This window comes from Homo sapiens, chromosome 1 (assembly GCF_000001405.40).
Source record: "Homo sapiens chromosome 1, GRCh38.p14 Primary Assembly".
Lineage (NCBI taxonomy): Eukaryota > Metazoa > Chordata > Mammalia > Primates > Hominidae > Homo > Homo sapiens.
In genome coordinates this window covers 119173461-119199802 of record NC_000001.11, presented here as the reverse complement: position 1 = coordinate 119199802, position 26342 = coordinate 119173461, and the positions used below count along the sequence as shown (strand labels likewise).

At 40.7% G+C, this 26342-nt stretch overlaps 1 long non-coding RNA gene across 3 annotated transcripts in view; it reads right to left on the bottom strand.

The window, feature by feature from the left end:
* WARS2-AS1 (WARS2 antisense RNA 1) overlaps nucleotides 1–26342 on the bottom strand; it is a 135578-nt gene that overhangs the window by 76171 nt on the left and 33065 nt on the right. The window contains exons 3-4 of one of the 3 annotated variants that reach the window (NR_125974.1): nucleotides 18342–18413; nucleotides 15980–17825 (exon numbers count right to left, since the gene is read on the bottom strand). The exons of the other annotated variants lie outside the window; for them this stretch is intronic. This is a non-coding gene — a long non-coding RNA (WARS2 antisense RNA 1). Of the gene's footprint in view, nucleotides 1–15979; nucleotides 17826–18341; nucleotides 18414–26342 lie in introns of those variants that run through there. 3 annotated transcript variants of the gene reach the window in all.

Sequence of the window (26342 nt, the reverse complement as noted above, 5' to 3'; positions counted from 1 at the left end):
ATATTATTGTAAATGAAACTGTTTTCTGGATTTCTTTTTCAGATACTTCACTATTACTATATAGAAATGCAGTTGATTATTTTTACCTTGCAAGTTTACTGAATTTATCAGTTCTAATAGGTTTTTTTTGGTAGCATCTTTAGGATTTTCTATATATAAGATCATGTCGTCTGCAAACAGGGAAATTTGACTTTCTCCTTTTTAATTTGGATGCCTTTTATTTCTTTCTCTTGTCTAATTGCTCTGGCTAGGACTATGTTGTCCTTCAACATTACGTTACATAGAAGTGGTAAAAAGTGGGCATCCCTGTCTTTTTCCTGATCTTAGAGGGAAAGCTTTCAGCTTTTCCCCATTCAGTATGACGTTAGCTGTGGATTTGTCATATATGGCCTTTTTTTGTGCTGAGGTATATTCCTTTTATATATAATTCATTGAGAGTTTTTATCATGAAGGAATGTTGAGTTTTGTCAAATGAATTTTCTGCATCTCTAGAAATAACTATACGGGTTTTGTCTTTCTTTCAGTTAATGTGGTATATCAAAGTTATTGATTTGTGGATGTTCAACCATCCTTGCATTCCTGGAATGAATTCCACTTGATCATAGTGAATGATTTTTTTTTTATTTTTATTTTTTGAGATGGAGTCTCACTCTGTCACCCAGGCTGGAGTGCAGTGGCACTATCTCGGCTCACTGTAAGCTCCGCCTCCTGGTTTCATGCCAGTGAATGATATTTTGAATAGGTTGCTAAGTTTGATTTGCTAGTATCATTTTGGGAATTTTGCATCTATGTTCATCAGAGATACAGGCCTGTAGTTTTCTTTTTTTGTTGTGACCTTGTCTGATTTTGGAATTAGAGTAAATTGTTGTGACCTTGTCTGATTTTGGAATTAGAGTAAATTGTTGTGACCTTGTCTGATTTTGGAATTAGAGTAATGCTGGCCTCATAAAATGAGTGTGGAAGTATTCCCTCCTTCTCCTCTTTAGCTGTCTGAAAAGGTCGAGGGTCAGTATTAGTTCTTTAAGTGTTTGGTAGAATTCAGCAGTGAAGTTTTCAGGTCTTGGTTTTTTCTTTGATGGAAAACGTTTTATTCCTGACTCAATTTACTCACTACTTATCGCTGTGTTCATATTTCTATTTTTTATTATTTAATCATGGTAGGTTGTATGCTTCCAGGAATTGATCCATTTCTTGTACATTATCAGATTTGTTGGTGTATGGTTGTTGTTCATAATACTGTCTTATAATCTTTTTAATTTCTGTGGTATGAATTGTAATGTATCCTTTTTCATTCTGATTTTATTTAATATTTTTTCTTAGTCTAGCTAAAAGTTTATCTATTTTATCTTTTCAAAAAACAAAACTTCATTTTATTGATCCTTTCATTTATTATTTTTTTAGTCTCTGATTTATTTCTGCTCTGAGCTTTAGTATTTCTTTCCTTCTACCAATCTTGGGTTTAGTTTGTTATTGTTTCTCTAGTTCCCTGAGGTGCATCACTAGGTTTTTTATTAGAAATCTTTCTTCTTTGATACGGGCATTTATTACTATAAACTTCCCTTTTAGAACTGCTTTTGCTGTGCTCCACAGGTTTTGGTATGATGTATTTCCATTCTCATTCATCTCAAGAAATTTTTTAAATTTCCCTTTTTATTTCTTTATTAACCCAATGGTTATTTAGGGGCATGTTGTTTAATTTCCATGTATTTATAACGTTTCTGAAGTTTTTCTTGTTGTTGACTTACAGCTTTTTATTAAAGCTACCGCTATTGCTGAAATTCCAGCAGGGAAAAAAATTATTATTGTAAATCCAAGCCTCTATCTTCTAGCACTTTGTTATCTTCTGAAACAATGGGATTTGGGGGTGGGGTCACACGAAGGTCCTTAGAAAGTTAACTATTTGCACTACAATAGAGCTGCTTGCAGTTGGGAGCTTTTAGTAGGCAATATATCATAATCAGCAGCAGAAGATGTAGATTCATGAAAGTAAATCAGTGAGATGTGACTCAGGCTGCTTCTGGAAAGACAGGAGTAATTTCCTTAAGACAGGGTCTGCTCTAACACTGTGAGAAGTGGAGCTTTTTGCAGAAAAGATGAGAATTCCTTCTGAATTAAAAAGCTGTGAGTGACCTTCCAAGGTCATCTAGTTTATTCCCTTCAGGCAGAAACCTGCAGTAATGCCATGATAAGGTGGCCTGTTTCACAGACCCTGAAAGAGAGCACATACATTCCAGAATCCCACACTCCAGCATGAAGAACCTTCACTCCCAAGAAATTCTTCTTGGGCGTAAATATAATTCCCTCTGCTATGGCTAGTTTGCTTTTGTTTTTGCTTTCTATTTTCTCTTTCTGAGAGACAAATAAGCTGGTCAAGTAAGACTAAGGAACCAAAGAAGCACAACTTCGCAACTTGCCCAGAGCTGGTGAATTCAAAACTAGAGAACTCATTATAGTATCCATTCTTATCCACAGATCTGAAGAACAGTAAATGCCTTTCTTGGCAGATAGAGAGCACTGACAGGAGGCAGCTGATCTACCTGTTTGCAGATAACTAAAAATCTTTAAAGCTCAAGGTACTACTCACCAGGGAATCAAGTGTTAGTGCCCCCGTAACCCCTCCACAATAAAAGGTTAAAAAAAATACAGGGAAGGAAAACAGCAATTTAAAAGTCTATAAAAGTGCCAGTTGCAAGGTCTGAGGCTAGTGCTTAAGGGTGAGCAGGAGGTCTCTTTCACCCAGGTAATGACTGTAAGCCCCATAAGGAGATGGTTAAATCAAAAACTGAGATGACTGCTCTTAAGAGGGGAAAAATATGTCAATCACACTTTGCCTTTGAAACAAGGAAATTCCTTGAAACTGAGAATGGAGAGTGGAAGGGAGGGAGAATGTCTCCTGATGTGGGTGGCCAGGAAATCAGGGGCCAGAAAAGCATGAGAGGAGAGAGGAAGAAAGAGCCTGAGAGGGAAAAAAACACAAGATTGAATTCTAATCAAAATGCTATGAGGCGTTCACACCAGGCCTTGAGAGAATATTAACAAGGTTACCCAAGGGGGGGCCTTTAGCCCCAGGAATTATTAGTGAATATGGAATTATATTTGCACAAACACTACCAGATGCAAGGGGCTAAATGTCCTGCAGATGTGGAAGGAGCCAGTGTACGTTCCAATAGGCGGCAGCTTTATTTGTTTTACCCTTCATCCAAAAGTCTGGGCAGCACGTTTCTGAGGGGTTGCATTTCTAGAATGACCACTACATCACTAGGCCCCTGTTTCCCAACTGCTGCTTGCACCAGCCCCAAAAGTATCTCTGCCTAGGACAATGTGGAGTGGCCCTGAGTTAGGTTTGACCAGCTTACCAGCTGACCTCTACCATTTTTTTGTGTGGGGGGAAGGGGATAATAGCAATCCTACGAGAGATTTTCTGAAAGATGAAAGAGTTCAGAGCCAGGTAAATCACAACAATTTCAAAGAGTAGTTTTGAACTCAAATTTTAACCAGTCAGTGTTGGGAAAAGAATGTACAGCAAAACAAAAAGGGCACAAAGGGTCTCCTTATATGAACCTTTAGAGCCCCACAACTCAATTTTATTTATATTCACCACTGCTGAAGGAGACATATCTCATCTCTGTGGTTGGATGAGATGCTGCCTTCAGGGGGTCTCCTGAATGCATAACCCCAAATCATGACCACCATCTTGCTCATGCTGAGCAAGGATTGCCCGTCTGGAGAGAAAGAACTGTTCAGCACACTGATATGACATGTAGAGGCAGTTGACCCTGAAGCTAATGCCATGAGCCTCTCCCAAGTTCCTTGTAGGGCCTTTATCAATATGTAGGCATGGCTGTATGTTTTCATAAAGTTTACGAAATTAAAGTATATAACACCAATTAGTTAATACTGTCCTGATTTCCCCTCTGTCACATTTCCCTTTGTGTAGGGTGGCATCAGAGTTGGGTTGAAGATATACTTAGCTTGAGTGGAATGAAATGTATTACATGGTTGGCATCACTTTTGTGTAGAGCTGACTGCTAACCACCTGGTTGTATTAATGGATTCCATAAACACTTCTATCATCAACTGCTCACCAGTGAGCTGGGTGACCAAGGGACATCATGTTGGGATGACAGGCATCCTATGATGCTGAGCCTATGTTGAATTCTGATGTTATGTGAATACATCCCACAATGCCCAGCCCTGAAATTAGGAGAATAGTGGAGGAGAAATAAGATTTGAAATGTACAGAGCCAGAAACTAGTCATAGAAGTGTTATCTAAATCTTACAACTCTTACAAGTAAAATCTTGATAAAAGTTTTCCCAAATTTGACAATTGTAAAATTTTACATGACGTTGCAAGCAACAAAATGTGGTATTGAAAAAAATTTCCCTAAACTATCAACAATAAAACACAAATTTTAATAATCATACTAAAGGAAAGTTGAACCATGTTTCTATTATCTCTATACAATATGGTATTACAAAATTGTCATATAAAGAAGCAATCAGAATCTGTACAACTACATTATATATATTAGAATTATATATATTCCACATAATAGAATATATTACATATTCATATATTATCTAATTATATATTACTAAATATAATAGAATTATATTCTTATATATTATATGTAATATATTATATATTTATTATTTATTTTATATTAAATTTTATATTTTATATATTTATTATGTATTACATGTAATATATTACATATTTAATTATATCTAATTATATATTATCATATATAATATAATTGTATTTTTATATATTATATATAATATATATAATTAGATATAAGTAATATATATAGTATACAATATATACAATAGAAATATTTCAGACAATTAATAAAAGCAGCATGTTGTTCTCCTGGATTTTGTGATTTTTGCAATATTTGTCAGCTTTCTTTTCGAATTAGTGATTTGTTATTTATTTATTTTATTTATTTATTATTATTTTTTTGAGATGGAGTTTCTTTCTTGTTGCCCAGGCTGGAGTGCAATGCCGCAATCTTAGCTCACTGTTCACCACAACCTCCGCCTCCCAGGTTCAAGTGATTTTCCTGCCTCAGCCTCCCAAGTAGCTGGGATTACAGTTGCTCACCACCACACCTGTCTAATTTTTTGTATTTTTATTAGAGACAGGGTTTCACTGTGTTGGCCAGGCTGGTCTTGAACTCCTGACCTCAGTCGATCCACCCACCTAAGCCTCCCAAAGTGCTGGGATTACAGGCGTGAGCCACCGAGCCCAGCTGATTTGTTATGATTTCTTACTGTAAAATATATTCACTTTACTATCTAATTTTATAGCCAGAGTTGTGTATTCTTTTTCTTAAAGAAAGCCTCCAATATTATATAAGATTCAAACCCTATATAACCTGGATTTGCCTTTGGTGCCATGTACCTTCTAAGCATTTTTCAGACTTAAAAATTTTACTCCTCAGCTTATAAGGTAGGCCTTGTTTATACTATTTTACAAATAAAGAAGCTGTGACTTTCAGTTATATAGCTTCTAAATGGATCTGAATGAAATATCTGTCTTATGCCAAAGGAAGTGAGCTAGCTCTAGCCCTAATTGTATTTCCCTGTCCCCATAGCTCTATGCTGATTCCAAACTTGAACTTTCTCTGCTTTATTCAGTCTGATTCAAATGGCTTCCACTAAGACCATTCTCTCTACTGTTCCACCCATCTGCCCCCTGAAATACCTCATTATGAACCGATCTGAAAGAACTCACTGTCAGAAAACTTTTCTTCATTTATTTTCCATTATTCTGAAATATGTCCTTGTGGACCCATCTGGCAATTTCTCTTTCTTGTGATATTTACCAAGTTTTATGTAGTGTTTACACTTAATAGAAAGAACCAGGAAAAACATTTCATCTTGCCCAAAAGATCTTTGAAATATTTTTTTAAATTGAAATTCAAAACACACTCCCTCCAGGAAGCCCACCAGATTAATTCCAGGCGGCAAGTCCCCATGCCATCCTCTTCCTTTGTAACTGATTACTAGCTATTCACAGCCACACTGTATGTATTTGCGTATACAGTATTCTCTTTCTTATTAGAAATCAAGATCAGCAATGCTTTAAAATCTTTACTACTTAAACTTAAATGTATGTTTGGATTCCAAAAACTTTGTGGGAACTCAGCAGGATTTTCAGACTACATAATGTAAGGAGGTGAGGTCTGATTTTTTCTTCAGCGCACCTCAGTATCTATCATGTTGCTTTCAAAATGAAAAATAAGCAAGTCCATTTAATGCAAAAACAGAAAACCTCAGTTCTGTGGTGGAACAAAAACTCATCAGTCTCCTGGCCTGGTTTCCCTGAATTCTAATGCATGGCTTTAGCTCTTTCAGTGTGTAACCTCCACAAACAACATGGCTTCTATTTCTCTATCTGTAAAATAAGAATTGTGTTATTTCTTTCCCATTTACTTTACAAAAGTCTCATGGGAACAAGAGTTAAATGATTAATGACTGAAAGCCTTTGCACAAACACAAAATACTGAATAAAAATAATCCCTCATTGCCACAGTGATAGGCACCAATGACCTGATGCTAAATCTTGACTGAGACTGAAGGTAATTCAGATCAACTCTGGGCCCTGTCTACGAATCCAGGCTGCTTTTCTCCTTATGAGGACAATCTGGGCTCATGTACCTTGACTTCCTTCACTGATAGGCCCCCTGCTCATGGCCGTCCCTGCTCAGATCCAACCCCAAGTAATATGAAATCTGGCTTACTGGTTGTAGGGAAGCAACATGTAGGAAATTGTAACATGTGCAATATAAATTTATTCTCTCTTTTTCAGCTTATACCACAATATTATTTAGAAAATTACTTGAGATCAAAGCTCAATATTTCATCTAGTTTAGGCCTTTCCAAAGAGAAGCCCCTGCATAACTCTGTAAAGGGTTTCCAAGTCAAACAAGTTTGCTGTCAGGACTGAAATAACTGGGGTGTTCTTGAGGAGCAAATACATCTCTATTGATGGAAATTTGTCAAGGTTATTTTAAAGGAAACAAGGGATTCGGGCATATTTTTAGTCAATTGTGCTTATTGAACATAATCTTTTTCTGGTCTTCAGGTATAAAACAGCCATGGGGACATCACCCTGGACTTGAATCTGATCCCTGAGTAAATTCAGAAAACTCAAGATGCATAATTACTCTACCAACCCTGATGCCTGTAGTACTATCTTGCCCTAAAACAATTTTCTTTTTATTCTCTCCTCTAAGATAATGAAAGACTAAATGGAGGAGTTCGTCAGAGAAAATAATCACTAAGCTTTGCTGTGTTTCATGGTAACAGAGGACAAAGCAATACAATGTGCTTGAGTTTTGGAATCAGACAGACCTGGGTTTGGAATCCCAATAGTACCAGTTACTAGTTGTAGAATCTTGAGCATGTTATTTAATTTCCCTGAATCCGTTTCCTCACCTATAAAAAAAGACTAAAATTTTAAAGGTAGAGAAATAAAAGCAATGGTTGCTACTGTTACATATTGAAAGAGCTAAAGCCATACATTAACATTTGGGGGTATCAGGCCAGGAGTTTGATGAGTTTATGTTCCATCACAGAAGCAATAGTGATGATTGAATTAGATACTGTATACAAAGTGTCTGGCAGATTGCCTAACTTATAGTACACAATCAATCCATAATAGTTATATTAATCATAATAATGAAAAAAATATATTCCTGGTCTACCAATAAGTCTATTATAGCCAAACAAAAAATAGTTTTTGAGGATATATATGCTGGGCACTATGGGAAAGGGAAGTACAATGACTTAGAGAAAATGAAACCTGCTTTCAAAGATCAGACTGTCAGAGGCATCTGAACATGAGCAACTCTATCTTGAATAGGGGCTGGGTAAATTAAGGCTGAGATCTACTGGGCTGCATTCCCAGGAGGTTAGGTATTCTAAGTCACAGGATGAAACAGGAAGTCAGCACAAGATACAGGTCATAAAGACCTTGCTGATAAAACAGGTTGTGGTAAAGAGGCCAGATAAAACCCACCAAAACCAAGATGGCGATGAGAGTGACCTCTGGTGGTCCTCACTGCTCATTATATGTTAATTATAATGTATTAGCATGCTAAAAGACACTCCCACCAGTGCCATGACAGTTTATAAATGTCATGGCAACATCAGGAAGTTACCCTATATGTTCTAAAAAGGGGAGGAACCTTCAGTTCAGGTAATTGCCCACCCCTTTCCTGGAAAACTCACGAATAATCCACCCTTATTTAGCATATAATCAGGAAATAACCATAAAAGTAGACAGCCAGCAGCCCTCGGGTCTCTTCTGCCTGTGGAGTAGCCATTCTTTATTCCTTCACTTTCTTAATAAAGGTGTTTTCAATTCATGGAATCACCTTGAATCCTTTCTGTGTGAGATTCAAGAACCCTTTATTGGCGTCTGGATCAGGATCCTTTTCCAGTAACACAACCATCTAGTTTCACTTTTTAAAATGTTATTAAAGATCTGTCTTTATGTATTCTCTGACTTTGCCTGAAGTATATACCAATCATACATTTCAATTGCACAGGTTCTTTAATTGTACAGGCTATAGCTGCTATACCACAATATATGCATTCTTCAAAATCATTGCCTACTATAAAAGTTCATGTTAAAAGAGAATGAGGATAAACGTACTCAACTTTGTAACCACAGCACTAACAAAAATGGTAATTATTACCTGAGAGATAACTTGAAAGTTATTCAAGTCCAGGAAAGCAGAACAGTTGGCACTTGCCTCTGGGGATATTTTTAAATGCATAAAAACAATAGTGTGGTCTGCTGGATGCAGTGGCTGATGCCTATACTCCCAGCAATTTGAGAGGCCAAGGCAGGAAGATCACTTGAGGCAAGGAGTTCAAGATCAGCCTGGACAACACAGCCAGACTCTGTCTCTACAAAAAAATTTAAAACAATTATCCAGGCACAATGGTGCATGCCCACAGTCCCAGCTCCTCAGGAGGCTGAAGCAAGAGAATTGCTTGAGCCCAGGTGGTTGAGGCTGCAGTGAGCCATGATCGTGCCACTGCACATGAGCCTGGGTGGCAGAGTGAGATCCTGTCTGTAAAAACAACAATAACCACAAGCAATAGTGTGGGACTTATGCTTCCGGCCAAGATGGAGTAATAGAAATTGGATTTACCTTCTTGCATAAAACACCTAAAAAATCCTGGACATCCTAAGCTAATTAACACGAGAACTGAAAACCAAATACCACATGTTCTCACTTATAAGAGGGAGCTAAACATTGGGTACTCATGGACATAGAGATGGTAACAATAGACACTGGGGACTACTAGTGGGGGAAGGGAGGGAGTAGGGGAAGGGTTGAAAAACTGTCAAGTTTTTACTATGCTCAGTGCTGGATGTCAGGATCATTAGTACCCCAAACCTTAGCATCACACAATATATACCCAGATAACAAACCTGCAGAGGTACCCACTGAATCTAAAATAAAAGTTGAAAAAAAACCCGTCAAAATATCTGGACAAAACCTGGACAAATATATAAAATTAGAGCTCTCAAGATATTGGAAATAAACAATAAAGGACAGTGATCTCTGAGTGAAGGAAACAAATGAGGCAAACTTCAGAATTTCCCAGTTTACTCTTTAAAAAGAGTTTCCGGTCATGACACAGAGAGGACAACACAGGTAGAGCCCAGTGGTCTCCCTGAGGTGAGGAGATGGAGCTGGGAGTCCAGGTAAGCCAATATGGCTAGAGTTCTCAGAGCAGAGAACCAAAGAAGAAAGTGCATGGAGAGTGAGTGTCTGAGATTTGCAGAGGGTCCCCTTCAAGGTTTCCGTTGAGAACTGATGAAGCATGTGAGAGGAAACTACCTGAGACCAGGGAATAAACCATGGCAAATGATAATAGCAAACTACCCCACGTCTCATACAGGGCCAGGAATAGTAGCTATTTTCATCATCCAGAGAGTAAAACCTCATAATTCATGGGGCTGAGGTTAATAATATGAAGGATTTTGACTCAGTAGTGAGAAAAAATTAACCCTAGGGTAAATGTTGCTCTGGTCCTGCCAAACAAAGCGTAAAAGCATGACCCGAAAGTATCCAATTATCTCTCAATAACCTGACCACGCTCCAGAAAAAGTGCAAGAATATTTTTAATAAAACAAAAATATACAGCATCTCTCAAGATAAAAATCACAATGTTGTGCATCTAAAAAAAAAAATGACCAGGCATACAAAGAGTCAGAAAAATCAAACTGACATTGAGGAGAAGAAAATAATTTATCAAAAATACTTTTAAAATGACATAGATTATAGCATTAATAAATAAGAGTAACACAGTTATGATAACACAGTTATGATATTTGAACACATCCCATATGTTCAAAAGTTTAGAGAAAAATTTAACAAATTAAGATACATAAGATGTTTTTAAAAATGAACTTCAACAGATGAAAACTAAAATGTATGAAATGAAAAACACACTGGATGGGATAAACATCTGATTAGACATCACAGAAGGAAAGATAAATGAACTTGGAGACATAGCAATAGAAACTATCCAAAACGAAGCACAGAAGATTAAAAAAAAAAAAGACCAAGAAAAAATAAACAAAGCATCATTGAACCATGGAACAACTTCAAGCAGCCAAATATGTGTGTAATGTGTAATGGGAGTTGCTAAAGGAAAGAAGGCAAGCAGGGAGTTACAAAATATTTGAAGAAATCATAGCTGAAATATTTCCGAATCTGAAAAAAAACTATAAACTCATAAATCCAAAAAATTCAATAGACTCCAAGCACAAGAAAGAAAACATGAGAACGTGGGGATACACCATAATCAAACTGCTTAAAACTAGTGATAAAAGGAAAATCTTAGAAGAAACCTGAGAAAAATGACACTTCACATAAAGAGAAACAATAATAAAGATGACTTAGATTTCCTGTCACATACTATGCAAGCAAGAAGATAGTGTAGCAATATATTTAAAGCACTCAAAGAAAGGCCAGCATTGGCTGGGTGCAGTGGCTCAATCCTTTAATCCCAGCACTTTGGGAGCCCAAGGTGGGTGGATCATCTGAGGTCAGGAGTTCAAAACCAGCCTGGCCAACATGGTGAAACCCTGTCCTACTAAAAATACAAAAATTAGCCAGGTGTGGTGGTGCATGCCTGTAATCCCAGCTACTTGGGAGGCTAAGGCAGGAAAATCACTTGAACCTAGGAGGCAGAGGTTGCAGTGAGCCGAGGTCACGCCATTGCACGCCAGCCTGGCAACAAGAGCAAAACTCCATCTAAAAAAAAAAAAAAAGAAAGAAAGGCCAGCATTATCCTGATACCAAAGCCAGACAAGAGCACTGCTGTAAGAAAAGAAAATTACAGGCCAATATCCCTGATGAACAAACATGCAAAAATCCTCAACAAAATACTAACAAACAAAATTCAACAGCATATTAAAAGGATAATTCACTATAACCAAGTGAGATTTATCACTGGGATGCAAGGATGGTTCAACATATGTAAATCAATAAATGTAATACACAACTTTAACAGAATAAAAGACAAACCCATATGATAATCTCAATAGATGCAGAAAAGATACTGAACAAAATTCAACATCCTTTCATAATAAAAACTTTCCACAAATTATTTATAAAAGGAATGTACCTTAACATAATAAAGGTCACATATGACAGGCCCATAGCTAACATCATATTGATGAAAGTCCATAGCTTTCATCAACAGTGAAAAGATGAAAGCTTTTCCTCTAAGATCAAGAACAATACAAGGGCCAGACGCAATGGCTCACACCTGTAATCTCAGCACTTTGGGAGGCAGAGGCAGGTGGATCACTTGAGGTCAGGAGTTTGAGACCAGCCTGGCCAACATGGTGAAACCCTGTCTCTACCAAAAAGTACAAAAATTATCAGGGCATGGTGGCACATGCCTGTAGTCCCAGCTACTCGAAAGGCTGAGGTGGAAGGATTGCTTGAATCCAGGAGGCAGAGGTTGCAATGAGCTAAGATCGCAATGCTGCATTCCAGCCTGAGTGACAAAGTGAGACCCTGACTGGAAAAAAAAAATAATAAAAAATAAATAAAAAGGAAAAGAGAAAAAAAAGAACAATACAAGGAAGCTCACTGTCACCGATCCTGTTCAACATAGTACTGGAAGTCCTAGCCAAAACAATTAGCCAAGAGAGAGACATGAAAGGCACACAAAGGGCCCAAAACTATAAAACTATTATACTAGGAGAAAACAGAGGAAATGCTTTAGGACATTGGTGTAGGCAAAGATTTTATGGGCAACACTTCAAAAGCATAGGCCACTAAAACAAAACAGATAAATAGGACTATATCAAACTAAAAAGCTTCTGCACAAGAAAGGAAATAGCAGAGTGAAGAGACAATGTATACAATGAAAAAAAAATATTTGCAAACTATTTATGTGACAAGGGACTAATATCCATAACATATAAGAAACTGAAACAACTCAAGAGCAAAAAAAAATCCCAAAAATCCCATTAAAAAGTAGATAAAGGATCTGAATAGACATTTCTCAAAAGAAGATATACAAATTACCAACACATATATAAAGAAATTCTCAACACCAGTAATCATCAGAGAAACGCAAATCAAAACTGGAATGAGATATCATCCTACTCCAGTTAAAATGGCTATGATAAAAAAAATTTTAAAATAACAAATATTGGAAAGGATGTGGAGAAAATGGAACTTTTATATACTCTTGGTGGAAATGTAAATTTGTAGAATCATTATGAAAAAACAGTATGGAGGTTTTTCAAAAAAATAAAATTACAGCTATCATATGATCCAGCAATGCCACTGAATATTTATTCAAATGAAAGGAAATCAGTATATTGAAGAGATAATCTGCATGCCCATGTTTATTGTTATTACAACAGCAAAGATATGGAGTCAAACCAAATGTCCATAAATGAATGAATGGATTTTTAAAATGTGATACGTACGTACAGTGGAATACTATTCAGCTGTAAAAAAGAATGAAATCTTGTCATTTGTGGGAACATGAATAAGCCTGGATGATATCATGTTAAGTGAAATAAGTCAGGCATAATAAGATAAACACCACATGTTCTTACTCATATGTGGGAGCTAAAAAAAAAGGTTGAGCTCATAGAAGTAGAGAGTAAAACTGTAGTTATTAGAGGCTGGGTAGGGCATGGGGGAGGGGAGGATAGAGAGGTAGGTTAATGAATACTAAATTACAGCTAGATAGGGTAACACTAGATAAATTCTAGTTTTATATAGTACTGTAGGGTGATTAGAGTTAACAATTTATTGTATATTTTCAAAAAGCTAGAAGAAAGGATTTTGAAGGTTTCTAACAAAGAAATAATAAGTGTTTGAGGTGATGGATATGCTAATTACTCTAATTTGATCATTACACAGATGTATCAAAATATCACTCTGTATCCCATAAATATCTACAATTATTACACGTCAACCAAAAACAAAAGGAAAGGAAAATAAAAAGACACAAATATTTTCCTTAAAAAAAAAAAGGCCCTCAAATTGGAAAGGAAGAAGTTAAACTGTCTCTGTTTGCAGATGACATGAAAACTCTAAAGACTCTACCAAAAATGTTGGCACTAATAAAAAATTTCAGCAAAGTTGCAGGATACAAAATCAATAACAATAAAAAAATGTAGCATTTCCATGTTCTAACAATGAACTATCTGAAAAAGAAATCAAGAAAACAATCCCAACTACAATAGTCACCAAAAAAAAAAAAAAAAAAAAATGTGTAGGAATAACATTGATGACAAAGATTGAAGAAGGCAAAAACATTTTGTGTTCATGGTTTAGGAAAATATTGTTAAAATGTCCATACTACCCAAGGTGATCTACAGATTGAATGCAATCCTTGCCAAATTACAATGACATTTTTCACAGAAATATAAAAACAATCCTAAAATTTGCTTGGAACCACAAAAGACCCTGATAGCCAAAGCAGTCCTGATAAAAAAGAACAAAGCTTCAGGTATCACATTACCTGATTTCAAAATCTACTACAAATCTCTAGTAATCAAAACAGCATGGTACTGACATAATAACAGACACACCAATGGAATAGAATAGAGAGCTCAGAAATAAATCCATACATTTACGGTCACTTAATTTTCGACAAAGGTGCTAAGAACAAACAATGGGGAAGGCACAGTCTCTTCAATAAATGCTGCTGGGACAACCGGCTATCTACTGACAGAATAATTACATTAGACCTTCATACATTAGAAAAAATGGTTAATATCTAAAATATATAAGGAACTCAAATAACTCTAAAAAGAAAACAAATAATTGGGTTGAAAAATGGCAAAAGTTAATGATCATGCCTTTGAAGAAAACAATGAAAGTAAATAAAAAGAAAAAAAAATGGGCAAGGGACCTGAATGGATATTTCTCCAAAGAAGACATATCTTAAAAGAAATAGATATTTCTTAAAAGAAGGCAAACAGGTATATTGAAAAATGCTCAACATCACTAATCATTAGGAAAATGCAAATTAAAACCACAGTGAGCTATCATGTCACACTTGTCAGGATGACCATTATTAAAAGACAAAAGATAAGTGTTGGTGAGAATGTGGAGAAAATATAACCCTTGTATGTTCCCGGTGGAGATATAAATTATTGCAGCCATTATGAAAAACTGTATGGAAATTCTTCAAAAAACTAAAAATAGAATTACCATATGATCCAGCAATCCCACTTCTGGGTATTAACCCAAAAGATCTGAAATCTTATGTTGAAGAGATGTCTGCACTCCCATGTTCATTGCAGCATTATTCACTTGGCAGTTATGGAACCAACCTAAGTTTCCACTGATAGATTAATGGACAGAGAAAATGTAGTATATGTACACAATAGAACACTAAAAGGAAATGCTGGCCAGATGCAGGGGCTCACATCTGTAATCCCAGCACTTTGAGAAGCTGAGGGGGGAGGATCACTTGAGCCCAGGAGTTTGAGACCAGCATGGCAACATAGTGGGACCCCCAGCTCTACAAAAAATAAAAAAATTGGCCAGGTGTGGTGGCAACCATCTGTAGTCCCAGCTACTCAGGAGGCTGAGGCAGAAGGACAGTTGAGCTTGGGAGGTCAAGGCTGCAGTGAGCTGTGATCATGTCACTGCACTCCAGCCAGGGCAAAGGAACAAGAAGACCCTGTCTCAAAAAATAACATAACATACATAACATAACATAACATAACAAACATAACATAACATAACATGACATAACATAACAAACATATAAATAAAATAAAATAAAATAAAATAAAATAAAATAAAATAAAATAAAATAATGGAAACTAAAAAGAAAGAGATTTTGTCATCTGCAACAACATGGATGGAACTGGAGAACACTGTGCTAAGTGGAATAAGCCAGACACACAAAGACAAATACCATAGGTTCTCACTTATATGTGGAATCTAAAGCAATCAAATTTATAGACGCAGAGAGTAGAATGATGGCTACCAGAGGCTAGGGGTTTGGGTGAATGGGAGATGACTGTCAAAAGGTACAAAGCCTCAGTTGAACAGGAGGAATAAGTGTTTGTTTTTTGAAATCTATTACATCAGCATGACGTATATAGTTAATTCTAGTGTACTGTGCAATTCAAAATCACTAAAACAGTAAACTTCAAATGTTTCATGACAAAAAAATAAGTATTTAAAGTGATGGATGTCAATTTTATTGATTTAATATCAACCTAGATTTAATTATTCCACATTGTATTAATAAACCAAAACATTGCTTTGTACCCCATAAATATATACAACTATAATTTGTCAATTTACAAAAAAAAAAAATTAACTAGACCCTCATCTCACACTTTGTAAAAAAGTCAACTCAAAATGGATTAAAGACTTAAACATAAGACCTGAAACTATAAACTTACCAGAAGAAAACCTAGAAAAAAACTCCATTATATTGGTCTTGGCAATGATATTTTTTAATATGACCCAAATCACTTCTCAGCCTTTTGGCTAAGATCAATTATGGGTATGTCCCCAAATGACAAGCAACAAAAGCAAAATTGGACAACTGGGATTACATCAAACTACAAAGCTTCTGCATAACTACAAAAATAATGAACAGAGTAAGGAGACAACCTGCAGAATGAGAAAATATATTTGCAAACCAAACATCTGACAAGGGGTTAATATCCAAAATATATAAGGAATTGAAACAACTCAATAGTAAGAAAGCAAATAACCTAATTAAAAACTGGTCAGACGACTTGAATAGAATTTCTCAAATGAAGACATACAAATGGCTAGTAGGTATATGAAAAAAATATTCAACATCACAAATCATCAGGGAAATGCAAATTAAAACCACAATGAGATATCACTTCATGCCTATTAGAATGACTACTATCAAAAACACAGAAGATAAGATGTGTTGGCAAGGACGTGCAAAAAATGGAACCCTTATTCACTGTTGGTGGGAGTGTAAATTAGTACAGTCCTTATGAAAAACAGAATGAAGGGCAACCCCCTTTGTGTCCCCTCCCATTTTATGGGAGCTCTGTTTTCACTCTATTAAATCTTGCAACTGCACACTCTTCTGGTCTGTGTTTTTTATGGCTCGAGCTGAGCTTTCACTCGCCGTCCACCACTGTTTGCCGTCATTGCAGACCCGCAGCTGACTTCCAACCCTCTGGATCTGGCAGGGGTGGATCTGCTGCACTTGTGATCCAGCGAGGCAGTGTCCATTGCTGCTCCCAATCGGGCTAGAGGCTTGCCATTGTTCCTGCGCGGGCTAAGTGCCTGGGGTTCATCCTAATTGGGCTGAATAGAGCTATAACACTCAATGCATGGCCCAAGATTCCATTCCTTAGTATCCGTGAGGCCAGGAACCCCAGGTCAGAGAACAAGAGGCTTGCCGCCATCATGGAAGCGGCCCACCATCATCTTTGGAGCTCTAAGAACAAGGACTCCCTGGTAACATTTTGGCAATCATGAAGGGACCTCCAAAGCGCTTTCGCTTGCTATTCTGTTCTACCCTTCCTTAGAATTGGAGGAAAATACCAGGCACCTGTCGGACGGTTAAAAACGATAGGGCGGCCACCAGACTTAAGACTCAAGTGTGAGGCTGTCTGGGGAATGGCTTTCTAACAACCCCCAACGCTTCTGGGTTGGAAGCGCTGGTCTACCTGGAACCAGCTTCCACTTTCAATTTCCCTGGGGAAGCCGGGGGCCGACTAGAGGCAGAAAGCTGTCATCCCAAACTCTCGGCATTAGCCGGTTGAGATCATGGCGCAGCCAGAAGTCCCTACTCAACAGTCACCCGTGCGTGTGCCTCTACCTTTCCTTCTGACCCATACCTCCTGGGTCCTGACCACAACTTTCTTGAAAGTGTAGCCCCAAAATTCTCCTTACCTCTGAATCTACTTCCTCTGATCCCTGCCTCCTAGATACTAATGCTTCAGACTTTCACTTCCTCTCCCAAGTATTAGTATCTCCAAAGGGATCTAAGGAAGCTCTATGCTGCGACCTTAGGCCCCTAGGCTATGAACCCAGGAGTCTTGTCCCTGGTGTCCCTCCCAATTTAGGCTTAGAGCTCTCGACATGGGCAGTTATGTGGGACCTGTTCCACACCACCCTTGCCAGGGCCTTAGAACTGATAACCCAGTATTGTAACAACTGGAACTGGGTCTACAACAACATAATAGATCAGGATAAAAGCAAATTGAGTAAATAAAAGGGAGGCGCATAGTCCTATAGTGGCAAATGGGGGCAATGAGCGAACATCCTTCCACTGGGTTTCCAAAATCCATCTACAAAGACAGAAAGGAGAAAGAAAGAGAGAAAGAGAAAGATAGAAGTAGTAAAGAAAAAAGTGTACCCTATTTCTTTAAAAGCCAGGGTAAATTTAAAACCTATAATTGATAATTGAAGGTCTTCTCTGTGACCCCATAACACTCCAATACCATTTTGTTGTCAGTGTAAACAAAGGCCTAGCCCGAAAGCACTGAAGCCACTGACAACCAGTAGCCTTTCTATCAAAAATCCTTAACCCAGGAACCCGTGGATGGCCCAAATGCATTCAATCTGTAGCAGCAACTGCTTTGCTAACAGAAGAAAGCAGAAAAATAACCTTTAGAGGAAACCTCATTGTGAGCACACCTCACCAGTTCAGAACTATCCTAAGTCAAAAAGCAAAAAGGGAGCTTACTAACTCAAAAATCTTAAAGTATGGGGCTATTCTGCTAGAAAAAGGTGATTTAACATTAACCACAGCAAATTACATTAACCTAGCAGATTTCCTAACAGGGGATTTAAATCCTCATTACCATACAAAGGTCTGACCAGATCCAGCAGAAACTACCTTCAAGGCAGGATGATAGATGGTTCCTCCCGGGTGACTGAGGGAAAAAAAAAAAACACAATGGGTATGCAGTAATTGATAGGGAGACTCTTGCGGAAGCAGAGTTAGGAAAATTGCCTAATAATTGGTCTGCTCAAACATGGGAGCTGTTTGCACTCGGCCAACCCTTAAAGTACTTACAGAATCAAAAAGCCCAGTGTAGACCCTCACTGGGACGCAGAATACATGGAGATTGGTGCCACAGACATTTACTAACTTGCATGCTAGAAGGACTAAGGAAAAGTAGGAAGAAGCCTATACATTATTCAATGGTGTCCACTATCACACAGGGAAAGGAAGAAAATCCTACTGCCTTTCTGGAGAGACTAAGGGAGGCATTGAGGAAGCATACCACTCTGTCACCGGACTCTATTGAAGGCCAACTAATCTTAAAGGATAAGTTTATCACTCAGTTAGCTGCAGACATTAGAAAAAACATCAAAAGTCCACCTTAGGCCCGGAGCAAAACTTAGGAACCCTATTGATTTCACAACCTCGGTTTTTTATAATAGAGATCAGGAGGAGCAGGAGGAAGGGGACAAATGAGATAAGAAAAAGGCCACCGCTTTAGTCATGGCCCTTAGGCAAGCAGACATTGGAGGCTTTGGAACACGGAAAGTCTGGGCAAATTGAATGCCTAATAGGACTTGCTTCCAGTGTGGTCTACAAGGACACTTTTAAAAAGATTGTCAGAATAGAAGTAAGCCGCCTCCTCATCCGTGCCCCTTATGTCAAGGGACTCAATGGAAGGCCGCTGCCCCAGGGGACAAAGGTCCTCTGAGTCAGAAGCCACTAACCCGATGATCCAGCAGCAGGACTGAGGGTGCCCAGGGCAAGTGCCAGCCCATGCCATCACCCTCACAGAGCCCCAGGTATGCTTGATCATTGAGGGCCAGGAGATTAACTGTCTCCTGGACATTGACGTGGCCTTCTCAGTCTTACTCTCCTGTCCCAGACAACCGTCCTCCAGATCTGTCACTATCCGAGGGGTCCTAATGTGTCTGGTTGGTGGGTTCTTGGTCTCACTGACTTCAAGAATGAAGCCGCAGACCCTCGCGGTGAGTGTTACAGTTCTTAAAGGCAGCGTGTCCAGAGTTTGTTCCTTCTGATGTTTGGATGTGTTTGGAGTTTCTTCCTTCTGGTGGGGTTCATGGTCTCGCTGGCTCAGGAGTGAAGCTGCGGACCTTTGCGGTGAGTGTTACAGCTCTTAAGGCAGTGCATCTGGAGGTGTTTGTTCCTCCCGGTGGGTTTGTGGTCTTGCTGGCTTCAGGAGTAAAGCTGCAGACCTTCGCCGTGAGTGTTACAGCTCATAAAGGCAGTGTGGACCCAAAGAGTGAGCAGCAGCAAGACTTACTGCAAAGAGCAAAAGAACAAAGCTTCCACAGTGTGGAAGGGGACCCAAGCGGGTTGCCACTGCTGGCTGGGGCAGCCTGCTTTTATTCTCTTATCTGGCCCCACCCACATCCTGCTGATTGGTCCATTTTACAGAGAGCCGAGTGGTCTGTTTTGACAGGGCACTGATTGGTGCGTTTACAATCCCTGAGCTAGACACAAAGGTTCTCCACGTCCCCACTAGAGTAGCTAGATACACAGTGTCAATTGGTGTATTCACAAACCCTGAGCTAGACACAGGGTGCTGATTGGTGTGTTTACAAACCTTGAGCTAGATACAGAATGCCGATTGGTGTATTTACAATCCCCTAGCTAGATACAAAGGTTCTCCAAGTCCCCACCAGAGTAGCTGGATACATAGTGTCAATTGTTACATTCACAAACCCTGAGCTAGACACAGGGTGCTGATTGGTGTGTTTACAAACCTTGAGCTAGATACAGAGTGCCTATTGGTGTATTTACAATCCCTTAGCTAGACATAAAGGTTCTCCAACTCCCCACCAGAGTCAGGAGCCCAGCTGGCTTCACCCAGTGGATCCTGCACCAGGGCCGCAGGTGGAGCTGCCTGTCAGTCCCACGCTGTGTAACCGCACTCCTCAGCCCTTGGGTGGTCGATGGGACTGGGCGCCATGGAGCAGAGGGTGGTGCTCGTCGGGGGGGCTCGGGCCACACAGAAGCCCACAGAGGCGAGGGAGGCTCAGGCATGGTGGGCTGCAGGTCCCAAGCCCTGCCCCACGGGGAGGCAGCTAAGGCCCGGCGAGAAGTAGAGCACAGCAGCTGCTGGCACAGGTGCTAAGCCCCTCACTGCCCGGGGCAGGCGGGGCCAGCTGGCTGCTCTGAGTGCGGGGACCCGCCGAGCCCACGCCCACCCGGAACTCTCACTGGCCAGCAAGCGCCATGCGCAGCCCTGGTTCCCGCCCATGCCTCTCCCTCCACACCTCCCTGCAAGCTGAGGGAGCCAGCTCCAGCCTTGGCCAGCCCAGAAAGGGGCTCCCACAGTGCAGCGGTGGGCTGAAGAGCTCCTCAAGTGCTGCCAAAGTGGGAGCCAGGCAGAGGAGGCACCAAGAGCAAGCGAGGGTTGCGAGGGCTGCCAGCACGCTGTCACCTCTCAATCCCCCCTCTAAACAGGACACCCCAACTGCTGTTGGGAATTTGGCTGATGACCGCTCTAGCTACTTCCTGCTGGATAGGGGCAAAGAAGGGGCCCTGCAGTTGTAGTGTCTTTCAGAGGGGAACTCTCTAGGCCAGGGGAAGTGCCAGCACGTCGGTCCAGGGGTCCTCAGTAGAAGTTGTAAGTTGAACTCAATTGGTGTTCCATTTGTAAGAACATCTGTCGCTTGATGGCCTTGATTCTAGAGGAAACAAATTTGACAACCGGGTTAAAAATACAGGGTCCAAACGCAAATAACAGCAAGATGGCTGTCACGGGACCTAGAAAGGGGAGAAGCCATGTTGCCCAACTCCAGAGGTTGGTGTAAGAGTTTGAAAGGCATTGTCTGATTTCAGAAGTCTTTTCCTGTAAACGCTGGGCGGCATCTTGTACTATCCCCAACTGGTTAGTGTACAAACAGCACTCTTCCCCCAAGAAGGTGCAGAGTCCTCCTTTCTCAGCAGTGAGGAGGTCTAGGCCTTGGCAGTTTTGGAGAGTCACTGCTGCCAAATAGTCTATTTGGGATTGTAAAGTAAGAACAGATTTCGTTATTTCTTGCAAACTGTCTGAGAAATCCTTTGAGAGAGTGTGGTAGTAGGATAATGAAGTAGATAAACCGGCTATTCTGGTTCCTGTAGCAGTAGCCATTCCTAACCCTATAAGTAGGGGTATTAGTTGTATGGCTCTGCACTGATGGACTTGAGCTTTGAGGGGTACTGATAAGGTCTGATTTCCTGGGGCAATGTTAATGTTGGGACTTAGAAAGACTAAGGTGCAGGTGCCCGTCCAGTTAGTGGGGAGGCAGATATAGGTTGATGTTCCACCTAAGAAAAACATGCCTTGGCTGGGTAGACAGAAATTTACTCTGGCTTTTAAAGGAATGGGATACACTGTTTTTTCCTTACTACTTCCATCTCTCTTTCTCTTTGACTTCTTCTTTGTCTCTTCCTCTCTTTCTGACTCTCTGACTTTCTGTGTCTGTCCCTCTTTCTCTCTGACTCCTTCTCTTTGTCTCTTTCTCTTTGACTCTCTGTTTCTTCCTCTCTCTGTCTCTTTCTCTGTCTCTTTGACTTCCTGTCTCTTTCTCTCTTTCCTTTCTGCCTCTGCCAGCTGCTTATGCTGCTGTTCTCCCCTCTCCTTCCCATTTTGATGGCTTTGGCAGTATAAGACTCCCACCTCTTTGGGTTTTTGCATTGCGTGCAATAACTCTATAATTTCCTTGTGGTATTTAATGGGGGTTCCCCCAGAGGTTAGGAACTCCCTCTCTTTCCATATTGCAGCATGGGCATGTAGGATTAGATAAGAATACTTGCTATCTGTATACACATTTATTCTTTTTCCCTTTCCCAGTTCTAAGGCTCGGGTAAGTGCCACTAGTTCCGCTAACTGGGCACTGGTCCCTGGGGAAGAGGCTTACTTTCAAGTATGGTTACATCACTAACTATGGCATAACCTGCCCTTTGTATCCCATTCTCCACAAATGAACTTCCATCGGTATATAGGTTAAGGTCAGAATTACTTAAGGGGACTTCTAAGAGATCATCTCGGGTGGCGTAAGTCTGGACTATAATTTGTTGGCAGTCATGCTCGATTGGTTCCCCATCCTCTGGGAGAAAAGTGGCAGGGTTGAGGGCCATGCACGTGTGTATTTGAAGCACCGGTCCCTCGAGGAGTAGCACCTGGTATCTAAGTAGGCGGTTGTCTGATAGCCATAAACTTCCTTTGGCACCTAGTATGCCATTTACATCATGAGTAGTCCAGACAGTGAGATCCTTTCCTTGTATTATTTTGATAGCCTCTGAAACTAAGACGGCCATTGCTGCAACTACCCTTAAACAGTGAGGCCAGCCTTTTTCTACTATATCAATTTCCTTACTTAGGTACGCCATTGGTTGTGGGGTTGTCCCACGAGTCTCAGTAAGGACTCCAGGGGCTATCCTGGCTCTCTCTGTGATGTATAAAGAGAAGTTTTGTCCTGTGGGAAGGCTTAAAGCTGGAGCTTGTACTAGGGCCTGCTTTAAGGTTTTGAAGGCTGTTTCTGCCTCTGGTTCCCATTCTACTAGATGAGTATTTGCCCTCTGGGTTTCCTTAATTAGAGTATAGAGGGGCCTGGCTATCTCTCTGTATCTGGGGATCCATAGTCAGCAAAAGCCAGTAATTCCAAGGAACCCCCGCAACTGTTTTAATGTCTTAGGGCGAGGATGAGCCAGTATAGGCTGTATTCGTTCCTTGCTGAGGGCCCTGGTCCCTCTGGCTAAGATTAGGCCTAGATATTTGACCTGCTGTAGGCAAAGCTGGGCCTTCGACCTAGACACCTTGTACCCTTGATGAGCTAGAAAGTTCAAGAGATCTGGAGTAACCTGCTGGCACGAGGCTTCTGAACAGGTAGCCAAAAGTAAATCATCCACATATTGAAGGACCAGAGTGCCTGGACTTGAGAAGTGGCCTAGATCTTGGCCAGTGCCTAACCAAACAGATGAGGGCTATCCCTAAACCCTTGGGGCAAGACCGTCCACATAAGTTGGGGAGTGTGGTCTGTGGGATCCTCAAAGGCAAAGAGAAACTGGGAGTCAGAGTGCAGGGGAATACAGAAGATGGCATCCTTGAGGTCCAGAACTATGAACCATTCTGCTTCCTCTGGTATTTGAGGGAGCAGGGTATAGGGGTTGGGTACAACTGGATATAGAGGAATTACTGCCTCATTAATGAGTCTAAGATCTTGCACTACTCCCCACTGACCATTCGGTTTTTGTACTCCTAGAATTGGGGTGTTGCAGGAACTGCTGCATTTCCTTACTAGGCCTTGAGCTTTCAAATGTTTAACAATATTCTTTAATCCTTTATGAGCTTCAGGCCTTAAGGGATATTGCCTTTGATAAGGAATAAGTGGTGGGATCTTTTAACCTGATTTGGACTGGGAGGGCATTTTTTGCCCTTCCAAATTGTCCTTCCAATGCCCAGACTTCAGGGTTGATTCCCTCCTCAAGTAGGGGACAACAAATGGGTACCTTGTTCCCCATATTCATGTAGATAATAGCTCCAGCCTTGGCTAATATATCCCTCCCTAATAAGGGTGTGCGACTTTCAGGCATAACAAGAAAGGCAAGTGAAAAAAACAAAGTCTCCCAAGTACAACTGAGGAGGTGGGAGAAATACCTGGTTACAGGCTGTCCTGGGATTCCTCAGATGGTAATGGACCTTGAGAACAGTCATCCAGGACAGTAGATTAACACTGAGAAGTCCGTGCCAGTGTCCAGGAGGAAGTCAATTTCCTGGCCCTCAATAGTTAAACATACCTGGGGCTCACTGAGGGTGATGACATGAGCCGGCGCTTGCCCCGGGCACCCTCAGTCCTGTTGTTGGATCATCTAGTTGGGGGCTTCTGACCCAGGGAACCTTTGTCCTCTGAGGCAGTGCACCTTCCAGTGATTGCCTCGGCATAGTGGACATGGATGAGGGGGCAGCTTGTTTCTCATTGGACAATCTTTTTTAAAGTGTCCTAGTAAACCACACTGATAACAAGCCCTACCAGGTGATTGGCCTGCTCCATTTTCTGTCCTCTCTGAACCACCAAGGTTTGTCTGTCCGAGGGCAATGACTAAGGCTGCGGCCTTTCTCTGATCTTGCTTTTCCTTTTGGGCCTGTTCCTCTTGGTCCGTATTATAGAACACCGAGGTTGCCAGGTTTAAAAATGTCTCTAGATTTTGTCCAGGGCCCAGGGCTTGCTTTTGGAGCTTTCTCCTGATGCCTGCAGCTGACTGGGTAATAAACTTATCTTTTAGAATCAATTGACCCTCGAGTGATTTGGGTGACAGGGGAGTATATTTTCTTAAGGCCTCCCGTAGCCGCTCGAGGAAGGCAGAAGGATTTTCTTCCTTTCCCTGAGATATGGTGGACATCACTGAATAATTCATGGGCTTTTCTCTAATTCTCCTTAGTCCTTCTAGAACACAGGTCAACATATGTTTATGACTCCAGCCCCCATGATCTGAGTCAAGGTCCCAGTGGGGATCCATACTGGGGATGGCTTGCTGACCGGTAGGGAATTTGTCCCTTTCTTCAGCTGTCATTCTATCATTTACTTGACTAAGATACCAGGTATCTCCAAACTCTCAGGCTGCAGCTAAAGCCACATTCTTTTTCATTAAAGGCCAGGGTTTGATCTAACAGTAGCATGACATCTCTCCAAGTGAGGTCAAAGGTTTGCCCTGGACCCTGTAGGACATCTATGTACCTATCAGGATCATCTGAAAACTTCCCCAGGTCTGCCTTGATTGGCTTTAAATCACAGAGGGAGAAGGGGACATGTACCCGGGTTGGGCCAAATTCCTCTCACCCTACAGCTTGAAGGGGACATAACCGATAGCCCGGGGGCTTTTGTGGACCTTTGGAGATTTCTTTGCTTATTTCCTTCTGGGCAGGGGAGATTAGAGGAGGATTATCATTAATAGGAAGGGGAGCTATAGGGAGGCTAGGATATGGGGGCAAGCTGAGGTCCTCCTGTGGGATGTAAATTGTAAGCTTTCCATAGTTGTGTATTCTCCCTCAATGAAAAGAAAGCTCGGACATAAGGTATTTCACTCCATTTGCCTTCCCTCTTACAGAAAAGGTCAAGCTGCAGGGTAGTATTGTAATTTGTACTTCCCTCAGGTGGCCATTTTTCCCCATCAGAAGGAGAATATTGGGGCCAAGCCGTAGTGCAGAAAAAAATGAGCCACCTCTTTTTCAGGGTTTTTGGGTCAAATTGGTCCCAGTGGCTTAGGATGCATTTCAAGGGTGAGCCTGCTGATGCCTGAGTGTTTCCCATCTGAAAGACAAAACCGCCTGCGGTTTTGGTTTGTTTCTCCCCCTGCCCAAGAACCCACAACGGTCCCTGGACCCTGCTGATCGGAATAGCTGCACTCACTGATGCAGCAGCAGAAACAACCCCTGCCCAAGAACCCGCAACGGTCCCTGGACCCTGCTGATCAGAATAGTTGCGCTCACTGACGCAGCAGCAGAAACACTAGTTTTCCTCCCAGACCACATGGAGGACCGAGGAAGGTTGGATTTAGTGGCCCTTACTGATGAATTCTCAAAAACCTGCACCCTTGCCTGTCCTCCTAGACCACAAGGAGGACCGACCGAGAAAAATCGGATTTAGTGGCTCTTACCGACGCATTCTCAAAAACCTGTTAGAGTCCTAAGCATTCTCCTGTTAGTAATGGGACTATACCCCTGTCCTATAAAGATGTTATGCCCCAAAAATGAAGTGGAGGGCCATACCCTGAGGGAGGGAAGGGATCTCCAGGGTTGGAAGAGTGACACCTTTTGTCCTCACTTATATGAATAGGAAGGATACAATTTCTAAGGCTCCCCATATCCTAGCTTCAGGAACAGCTTTTG